The sequence below is a fragment of the Homo sapiens genome, chromosome 1 (assembly GCF_000001405.40).
Source record: "Homo sapiens chromosome 1, GRCh38.p14 Primary Assembly".
In the NCBI taxonomy this organism is placed as follows: domain Eukaryota; kingdom Metazoa; phylum Chordata; class Mammalia; order Primates; family Hominidae; genus Homo; species Homo sapiens.
The window spans coordinates 13,280,925-13,291,304 of record NC_000001.11 but is presented as its reverse complement, the minus strand read 5'-3'; the positions used below and the strand labels follow the sequence as shown (position 1 = coordinate 13,291,304).

General features: G+C 49.2%; 1 protein-coding gene across 2 annotated transcripts; it reads left to right on the top strand.

Moving 5' to 3' along the window:
- The first annotated feature begins 6,167 nt into the window (after positions 1-6,167).
- Positions 6,168-10,001, top strand: PRAMEF8 (PRAME family member 8). 2 transcript variants are annotated; one of them, NM_001012276.3, is made up of 4 exons: positions 6,168-6,208; positions 7,189-7,500; positions 7,883-8,458; positions 9,373-10,001. In NM_001012276.3, exons 2-4 carry the CDS (start codon positions 7,214-7,216, stop codon positions 9,932-9,934), a joined length of 1,425 nt encoding a protein of 474 aa, NP_001012276.2. In that variant the 5' UTR covers positions 6,168-6,208; positions 7,189-7,213; the 3' UTR covers positions 9,935-10,001. The 2 variants fall into 2 exon arrangements, with proteins under 2 accessions (NP_001012276.2, XP_016856758.1); XM_017001269.2 differs by lacking the exon at positions 6,168-6,208 and having other exon boundaries at positions 7,152-7,500.
- The last annotated feature ends 379 nt before the right edge of the window (positions 10,002-10,380 follow it).

Below are 10,380 nucleotides of genomic sequence, written 5' to 3'. Positions count from 1 at the left end.
CACGTTGTGCACATGAACCCTAAAACTTAAAGTATAATAATAATGAAAAAAGAATATATACTTGCATTTTGTGTGTGTATTTATTTTAATCCACGTATATGCTCTAGTGTATGGTGCTACAGAAGAGGGCCTGACAATTAATTGTCCAGTCCCAGACACTTTGGAGAGTGAATGGACGTGTTGTTATAATTAATTGCTTTTTTTTTTGGAGATGGAGTCTCACTCTGTTGCCAGGCTGGAGAGCAATGGTTCGATCCAAACCATATCACAGGGGGTAATGCTGTCAGACAACGTATTTCTATTTCACTAGTAAAATTTCTTTGGAATAACAGATTTGGCAGTGAATATAAACATAGCAAACATTAGACCTGATGCTCTGGACCCCAACTCTTGCACAAGCCTCTGACTGTGGAGTTTTATTTGAAAGGATGAAAATGAGCAGCAGATTGCAGGGACTGGGACAGTATCATGTCACCGCCAAAGATGTTGACAAACAGACATTCCGTCATTCCAGTCCCACCACTTACAGGCTGTCTGACCTTGAAAATTTCTCCCTCTCTCTTTGAATGTGTCTCTTTCTCCATCAAATGTGTAGAAGGATAATCTCAATCTTCAGGTAAAAATGCTGAGCCCAAAGCATGGGGCATAATAAACCCTCCATAAATGTTGGCTACTTTTGTTGACATTCAAAGACAACAGGCATAATCAGGAAAACAGTTGAGGCCACAGGGGATAACTCAGCCCTAAGGCAGAGTCCTCTCCTGTGCCAACCACTCCCTCTGCCAGGACACAAGCTTCACATCCACCCCAGGAAGAATTAAGAGCAAGTCCTGCTGACTCTGCCTCCAGGACGTCCCTATGCTGTCCATGGCCACTCAAGTGGACACCAGGACCTCCTGTCTGGACAGTGCAAGAATCTTCTGAAGCGTGTCCCTGCCCTCTGGTTGTCCCCCCAGGGAACACGGTCCTCTCAGCCACCTCGGGGATGTGGAAGATAGGCTTCAAGTGGCCTCACAACCCTAATCCCAAACTGCCAATGACCCCTGAGTCACCCTTGCCCCTGGCTGCACCTCTCCAGTCTCATCTCCCTGAGCCAATTCACAACCTGCCAGTTCAGACACTGGTCTTCTCATTCTCTCTGTGTTTCCCCTAAAGCACGTGAACTAGTCATTTTGTCCTTCTTGCTGGGGTCTGAGTCACTGGCCAGTCAAGGCCAAATGCTGGATCAATGAGACAGGAGGAGGCCAATGACTCCAGGCCCCAGGTGAGTGAAAGGGAGGCTTTTATGAACTGGGTGCTATGGGAGAACCGCAGGCCCAGTGGGCATCCCTACAATGACCTCATGGTGTTTACATGTTTATGTGTGTGTGTGGTCAGCTAGGAAGTCACAGCTCTCCAGCATGGCTCCATGGCACAGAAAAGTAAAATATGCCATGTCTCTAGCAGGGCAAGTTTCCCGTGAGTCCAGCAAGAAGGCATGGGATCTGTGGAAAGGAGGCCTCTGGGAAAAACCCCACCTTTGAGGATAATGTTAAAAGCTGAACTTGAGACCCTGAGAATCCTATGTCCTTCCCACTCCCCGCAGGGCTTCTCTTGATCCGGCCCTGACTCCCGGATGCAGAAGCCCAGGGAGGAGCTGGGAGACAGGGAAACTTGCTGGGACGCTCCATGCATTTGTCTCCAAGAGGGTCCCCAAACCCAGGTGCCTGCAGCATCAGGGAGGCTCAGAGTTCCTGTGTCTGCCTGAAGGAAGCCTCATTTGCATGGATCCATGTAAGTTCTGAGATTCCTTCCCACACGTGGCCACCTGCAGGTGCCCCATAAATTCATCTTCCCAAGAAGAGCCAATGGGGATAGGCGAGGACCCCAAACCTGCTCCCAACCCCACATCCACAGGACAGAGAGGGATCACCTGAAGCACAGGCCAGGGGGTGAGTCCTGACCCCACTGTCTCCTCCTAATCCCAGAGGGCAGTGGAGTGGCCACAGGCACCCCACCAACTCCTCCTGTACCCCAAGCCCAAGATGAACAAACTTCCCGACTCACTGGCCTATCCCAACTTAAAAAAAAGCAGGACAACTCTCCCAGGTGGAGAAGACACCAGCTGCCTCTGCGGTGCTGAGCCCAGGAGGAAGATGATCACTGTTCAAACTGCCTTGGCAAGTTGTTTCAAAGAAATAAAACCCTTGGCTTCTCAGTGCTTTGAGTCACATTGCACTTAGTAAATGTTCGTTTTACTAATGTTTTTCACTTCCCTGTATATTTATATTCAGCAGTGAGAGACCTCTTCATATTCCAACAAAAAGTGATTAAAGGATTTGGGACACCTGTGATTATCCCCATGGGTTATTATGATCGCTCTGTACCGCGCAGCCTGCAGAGTTATTTTTCTGACCGGGATTGCAGTGCTGAGCCTGGTGTCCTCTGCTGAGTTCATTTTCCAGCTTCCTTGCATTTTATTCATCTTCCCTGGTAGCACCCGGAATTGCAGGAAGCAATCCCTGGTGCTCAGTGAAGGTCTTTGAATGAATCAAGGGGAGAGGAGTCAGGGGGAGGCAGAGGGTGTGGGAGGAGTCACATGTGCCAGAATCTTCTCTTCAGACATGTCACAGAGAGTCCCCTCCAGGCACTCTTGTTGGGCCTCAGTGCTGGACATTGGAGGACTTTTCTGACTGAGGATCATTGTGCCCTCTCTGGATCCACTGGAAAGCTCTGGGCAGCCATGTGAGCCTTGGTTTGACTTCCATCCTCCATGATTTTCCCTTTGCTTGTCAGAGGAGGTTTGGAATAACTTGGATGTCAGGGACTCTGAGCCAGACCCCATTCTTTTTCATTCCCTCCTGAAAAGCCCAGTCCTCACCGTCCCATAAGGCTCTGACCAGTGAAAAGATGGAGCTGCACGATTTCCAAAGAGAATCCTTTCCTTGGCCTCAAGCCACAGCTGCTTCCTTCTGACCTGCTGCTTGTCTTTGGATCCAGGATGGACACTCGCCACCCGCTCTTCCTCTCCTGGGACTCCCCACTCTCCTGACTCTGTGCCCCTGGGGCAGGATGGGGCAGCCACTAAAACCTCATGCAGACCAGGGCACATAAAGTGTCTTGGGAACTCACAGACCCAAGTCCAAGCCCCAGTGCCCCACGGTCTCAGACACAAGTCCCTGCCTTTCAGAGACACAGCTCTATGAGAGCCAGAGAACCTGGCTGCCTGCTCTGCTGCCACCTCCCTCCTTCCCCTTTATTTCAGCCCCATCAGCTCCTCTGATCACTCCCCTTCTTGGCCCCATTCCTACTTTCAGTCCCTCTGGCTCTGTCCAGCCTGGAGTGAGGGTGCAGACCTCCTCCCACCCCAGGCTCTGAGCACCTCCCTCAGCATCAAGTGTCTGCTTTCAGGGTGACCTTGTCCTCAGACTTGATTGGAGGAAGAAAGAGAGGAAGCCCCTACTTTAGCACACGATGTGCATGAATCTGACCTGGAATCAGACCCGGTTGAGGACCAGAGAAGGGCAACAGGGCCAGAACAGAGATTTTGACTCTTAGAAATGCACAGAGGGTGAACAGCTCAGGCTAAGAAGAGACCTGACTTGGACAGAAACAGACTGACTGCATTCCAGGTGCAGCCTTGTCAGCTCTAAGGCTGACCCAGGGGAGCCTGGGAAGGGATGGCCCCTGCACCGAGACATTTCCCAGGACCTCTTCTCAGCCTGGCACCCATAGGAAGACCAGAGGACTCAGGTCTCCTTCTGCGTGCCAGGCAGGGTCACCCTCCAGCAGTCCTGTCCCAGGGGCCTCTTTAGGGCCAGAGCAGCAGCTGAGGAACTCCCTGCTTTATGGCTTCTCATGTTCACCAAAATAGCTCAATAGAATTTTGGGAGAATTCCTCAATGACTGCTCTGGGGTGAAGGTCTCCCAGCATTGTGGCCATGTTCTGTTGTTCAGGAGATTTGGGCTGAGGTATCCAGGATGCATAAAGAGATACCTGCCTTGACAGCTCAGTCTGCAGGAGGGAAACAGAAGCTCAGAAATATTCTAGAGACCCTGAGCAAGTGCCTGGGGGAGCTTTGGTATTCTGGTGGAGATTCTGTGAGTGGAGAAGGGGTCAGGTCATCTTCTCAGAGGGGCTCTGAAGGATGCTCTGAGTTTGACAGCAGATGAGCACCTTGAGAAGAACAGGTGACAGGACATGGTAGAAATGCCCCCAAGTGCGGGATTCTCACTGGGGTCCTGGGGGTGGTGCTGGACCTTCTGAATTGGGCAGGAAGGGAAAGTCTGTCAATCAGTTCTTTTCAACATTTAGATTATTGAACTCCTTAGGGGATCCTCTGAGCTCCTCACCAGAGGGGTCTGTCCATCATTTGCTGCCTGAACACGGGCAGGTTCCTCTCCCTAGCCAAGTCTCAGGGTCACCACTTTAAAAATGAGGAATATAGCAACATGCCTTAGATTCCTCGTGAGGGAGAGCTGAGATCTTGGATGAATGGTACCAGTCCCTGCTGTGCCTTGTGCATGCTCAATCAACAGAGACACTCAGGATCACCTTTGGTGCTGAGCTCACCCTCAGCCTCAGGCTCACAAAGTGAGGGCAGGTGAAGTAGAAGCCGCACTGAGCACGTTTCAGTTTAACTCGATTGCACACATAGCAGGGCATTGATAGTGAGGTCAGAAATGTGGAGAAAGAACATTTACAGAAATATTCCATGATGGAGAACATCCTTCAAAGTACTTCAGTTTTGGAAGCCAGTGGCATCTCCGGGCTGTTTGGGTTTCATATGGAATGGGAGAGAAAGGCCTGGAGGACTTTCTGGAGGCGGGGGACGTTCTTGCTACTTTGTGCCCTAAAATAGCAGAAGAATGACTGTGTGATCCTGCTTAGGATGGGAGCCATCCCTGAACTTAGCAGATCTTTTAACATGAAATAGAGCTTCCAGGTTTTGTTGGGGAAATGTATTGTACATTTGCACACAATACAACCAGATGTGTGCACCGTTCTTAAAGACAGGAAGGCTGAGTTTCTCTCTCTCTTTCTTTCTTTCTTTCTTTCTTTCTTTCTTTCTTTCTTTCTTTCTTTCTTTCTTTCTTTCTTTCTTTCATTTCCTTCCTTCCCTCCCTCCCTCCCTCCTTCCCTCCCTCCCTCCCTCCCTCCCTCCCTCCCTCCCTCCCTTCCTTCCTTCCTCCCTCCCTTCCTTCCTTCCTTCCTCTGGCATCTGCCCCAGCTCACATTCTCAGATTCCATCTTCCCAGGCTGATTTTCCGAGGCGAGCCCATCATTTTTGGGAGTAAACACGCTTTCCCTTGTAGTAGAGGCCAAGACTGTATCTGCCTCCTCTGCCCTCAAAGACAATGTTGTGTTTGAAGAGTCTGCACTGTCTCTTTTGTAATTATTCCCTTTTTAATTTTTAAACTCAATCTAGACAGAGTCTTTCAATCCTTCTGTGGAGATGCCCACAAAATACCCACCATGTTTTATGCTGTCTTGGTTCCTTCCCAGGGTTCTACTAGAACACCCGGTCCCATCCTGCCCAGCCGCCACCTCACTTTGTCATTCTGTCCTGATTTCCTTCAGTGAAGCCTTGACCTTAGTCTTGTGATCAATCACACCCTCCGTGGTCCCCTTTTCAACCTGAACCCACATATGACCTGCCCTGTTATAAAACATAAAACCCAGGTGACCATTGGATAAAGGAGCTTTTTAATCCGTTTTCTTAGGGTGGACATCACTGTCTTTTTAAAGCTGTTTTAACTGTCTTAACGAAACGTTTTGATAATTTCGATGTGGCCACAGATTTTCCCATAAAGATATCATCAGGTTTTGTTTTTTCTTTCTAATGTCAGGAACAGATTAAACCTTCCATGTCTCTATGAAGGTCACATATTAGTCAAACTTCATCAGTGTTTGGGGAATAAATGAATTAATGAGTTTTGGACTTTCACCCTGTTATTTATTCTTTCACTTTCATAAATGCACATCTAATTTAATCAATGAATCAGAAGAAAGTGTAAAACTCAATCAGGACTAACTAGGTGGAACTTCGGAATCTAATCAGGTATCACTTTCTGATTGGAAGCTGGTGATTGAGAAGGGGAGGGTGTGGTTAGAAACATCAATAAAAGCTCCTGAGTTTGCAAAGGAGAGACCCAAAGCCCTGGTGCCTGGAACTACTGCTTGATTCTCTGAGAGATCCCAGCACCCTACAAACTGAGTCCAGATCTGGTAAGTCACCACCTCCTTAGGAACATGCCCATCTGATCTGCAGCCAGCCAGTCAGGGATGGTGACACACAGCCCAAAGTGGCACAGAGAATTTCCTGTCTGTTTTTTCAATTTAACAGATGTAGGTTTTGATTTTTCCTCTAAATATAGTATTCACTTCATCCCTCAAATTTTGATTTCTGCTTCATTTTTCTCATTTCAAAATTCTTATTGAAGCAGTTTTTTAAAAAAGATATTAAAAATTTACAGTTGGATGAATTTTTATGTCTTGACATGTGAAGTTATTTGTTTCTGTGCCCTTCAGCTACAGTTCACACACTTAGTTGTATTGTGATTTTCTCGAGTCTTGTTCTGAACATGGGATTTATCTCTGCCCTTAGACTCTGTCCCTAAGTGGGTGATTGTGAGTATGTAGAAGGGATGAGTATTGGATCCTTCATCTGAGACTTAGTGTTTCCACCCGCACCTTCCAAGTGCTCTAGAATACTGCCACACTGCTTTTATAGTTTCTCTTATAATTTTTCAAAATAAAAACAAGTGGCATTGATTTTAAGGAGTCACTTCAGTCTTCCCCAAGCATGCTAATTGTGTAAACTGAGAATGCAGGCTGTGTGGGGCCACAGGACAGTCATTCTCATTGTTTTTGGGTGGTAAGTAACAAAAAAATTTCCCTCAAAAAGGTGGAGCTTAGCTTTCAGGATCCTGAGTGACAGATCCCAGTAATCCTGAGTTTCAGTGGAGCAATGTATAGAAATTAATGGGCCACTGGCCACCTCGTCCCCTCCTTGGTGTTTGAAAGACATTCTTTGTGGTAGTCACAGGGGCACAGATACAGATTTGTGGCCACCAAGTGCAGAATGGAACTGGGGGGAATTGAGGGCTTTTCCACCTCCACCAGAGCAATGAGATTAGCAATAGGAGAAGATGAGGTGATCATATTTGGCCTGAGAGTGATGCCTTTTCTCTGGATTTGTCCTCTAGAGTTTTCCCTTGCAGATTCATCAAGATGAGCATCAGGGCCCCACCCAGACTCCTGGAGCTGGCAAGGCAGAGGCTGCTGAGGGACCAGGCCTTGGCCATCTCCACCATGGAGGAGCTGCCCAGGGAGCTCTTCCCCACACTGTTCATGGAGGCCTTCAGCAGGAGACGCTGTGAAACCCTGAAAACAATGGTGCAGGCCTGGCCTTTCACCCGCCTCCCTCTAGGGTCCCTGATGAAGTCGCCTCATCTGGAGTCATTAAAATCTGTGCTGGAAGGGGTTGATGTGCTGTTGACCCAAGAGGTTCGCCCCAGGTGAGGTGACCCAGGTGTCCAGGTGGGGAGGGCCCTTTTGTCCAGGGTAGGGACAGCTGTTTCAGGAGGAGGAGGGGCACCATGGAGGCCCAGAGGTTTCTGATGGTGCCAGTGAGGAAGCTCAGGAAGGCCTTGGCCATTGCCCAGCCCCTCTGGGAAAGGACTGCTCACCATGCAGGGTCCACTGAGGAAACAGAAACTTCTCTTCTAGTGGCTCTGAAAGCTACAGGCAATGGGGATGAGGCAAAATCCGGAGGGAAAAGGGGTTGGACAAAATCAGAGAGGGAAAAGTGGCAGAGAGGAGAACAGCTGATGTCTGGGATGTAAATAAAAGCTCAGGTCCTTGCCTTAGTTTGGAGCCTCTCTTCTCCTTTACCCACAGGCAGTCAAAACTTCAAGTGCTGGACTTGAGGAATGTGGATGAGAACTTCTGCGACATATTTTCTGGAGCTACTGCATCCTTCCCGGAGGCTCTGAGTCAGAAGCAAACAGCAGATAACTGTCCAGGGACAGGCAGGCAGCAGCCATTCATGGTGTTCATAGACCTTTGTCTCAAGAACAGGACACTAGATGAATGCCTCACCCACCTCTTAGAGTGGGGCAAGCAGAGAAAAGGCTTACTGCATGTGTGTTGCAAGGAGCTGCAGGTTTTTGGAATGCCCATCCACAGTATCATAGAGGTCCTGAACATGGTGGAGCTTGACTGTATCCAGGAGGTGGAAGTGTGCTGCCCCTGGGAGCTGTCCACTCTTGTGAAGTTTGCCCCTTACCTGGGCCAGATGAGGAATCTCCGCAAACTTGTTCTCTTCAACATCCGTGCATCTGCCTGCATTCCCCCAGACAACAAGGGGCAGTTCATTGCCCGATTCACCTCTCAGTTCCTCAAGCTGGACTATTTCCAGAATCTGTCTATGCACTCCGTCTCTTTCCTCGAAGGCCACCTGGACCAGCTGCTCAGGTGAGGAAGGATGGTGAGCTTTCTCTTCAGACCACAGCAGAGCCTTTCTTTGTTACAGTAAACACCAGTGGGTATGCACTGTGAGCCTGTGAGGAAGTAAGAGTGAGGGGACACTAGAATATCCATGCATTATCCTGTTGGTGGCTCTGTCCTGATACGGGTATCACACAACCATCCCAATAAAGTCAGAGGGATCTCCTGGGCTAGATGCTATAGAGAAGGTGCCAAGCTAGGAAGCTAGCTACTGCAGGGTTTAGATCTGGCGAGAGTGCATTTGTGAATTCCTCCTGAGGATGTGTGTCTAAGTTAAGATGATGGGAAATAGGGAGGTGAAGAGGGCACTAAAGAGAATGCCCATCCCACTCCTATATTTTAAAATATGAGGTCTATCCTCACCTGCCTAGTGAACAGGCAAAATCCTATGTTTCCCTGTCAGCACCCTGTTTTGAGCTCCAGGTCAGGTAATTAATGTATGGGAAATACATGATGATAGAATAGAGGGTGAGGGAGCAGGAGCAAAGAATGGTAAAAGTGATAGATGGTTTGCTGATGGTACAGGCATGTCAGGGTCTCCTGCAACCTGGCCAACCCAGCTGATGTTGCAGGATCCTGCCTGGGTTTGTCATTTATGCCTGTGTCTCCATCGGGCTCCTGTGGCCCAGAGATGTGGTTTTCTACCTGACAGATGAGGAAAGGGAGACTTAGAGTTCATGGACTTGATCCAATCACCTCGGTGATGGTGAAGGACTGAGCCTCGATTGGGACTGCACTGAAGGAACAGAGTCTCCATTCCCACACCCCAGGTGCTGACTATCCTCAGATGAGCAGAGCAGCCCTGGGTTATGGAGAGCATCATCTCTCACCCTGAAGTCATCCCCACCTCTCTCCTCTAACTCCTTCTTGTTCTCTCCCAGGTGTCTCCAGGCCTCCTTGGAGATGGTCGTTATGACCGACTGCCTGCTGTCAGAGTCGGACTTGAAGCATCTCTCTTGGTGCCCGAGCATCCGTCAATTAAAGGAGCTGGACCTGAGGGGTGTCACGCTGACCCATTTCAGCCCTGAGCCCCTCACAGGTCTGCTGGAGCAAGTTGTGGCCACCCTGCAGACCCTGGACTTAGAGGACTGTGGGATCATGGATTCCCAACTCAGCGCCATCCTGCCTGTCCTGAGCCGCTGCTCCCAGCTCAGCACCTTCAGCTTCTGTGGGAACCTCATCTCCATGGCTGCCCTTGAGAACCTGCTGCGCCACACCGTCGGGCTGAGCAAGCTAAGCCTGGAGCTGTATCCTGCCCCTCTGGAGAGTTATGACACCCAGGGAGCTCTCTGCTGGGGGAGATTTGCTGAACTTGGGGCTGAGCTGATGAACACACTGAGGGACTTAAGGCAGCCCAAGATCATTGTGTTCTGCACCGTCCCCTGCCCTCGCTGTGGCATCAGGGCCTCCTATGACCTGGAGCCCAGTCACTGCCTCTGTTGAATGCCTGCCATCAGGGTGGATATATTTCAAGCTTTCTTCTGGTCATTTCGGAGCTGAAACCTAGGCCATGAGTGCATGTTAAAGGGAGCACAGACCCATCGTTTCAAATGCCTCCTCAGTGTGAATGGGAAAGGAATGAGGATGCAGGAGGGGCAGGACTGGGGGAAAAGTTGACTTGGAGTGGATGGGCTCTTTAGAGACCTGTGTCCCAGAGAATCAGAAATGGGAATCTGAATTGCTAGAGTGAGAATCAGGGAGGAGAGACACATGAGAGGGTTACCCCTGCACAGATGGTTGTAAAGTAACAGTCAGAAATAAAGGGAAACTGAGTGGAAACTATCTGGTGTCCTCCGTAATTGCTTAACATGGCTTAACAATTAAACAATTTAAACCTAAAAAAGTCCAGTTACTGATCGAGCTAATAAGGCACTGATTTGTCTGTGACT

Coding starts and splice junctions, on each gene's coding strand:
- PRAMEF8 (NM_001012276.3), top strand. CDS start 7,214: ATGAGCATCAGGGCCCCACCCAGACTCCTGGAGCTGGCAAGGCAGAGG. Junction 7,501..7,882: donor ACCCAAGAGGTTCGCCCCAG/GTGAGGTGACCC, acceptor CTTTACCCACAG/GCAGTCAAAACTTCAAGTGC. Junction 8,459..9,372: donor CACCTGGACCAGCTGCTCAG/GTGAGGAAGGAT, acceptor GTTCTCTCCCAG/GTGTCTCCAGGCCTCCTTGG.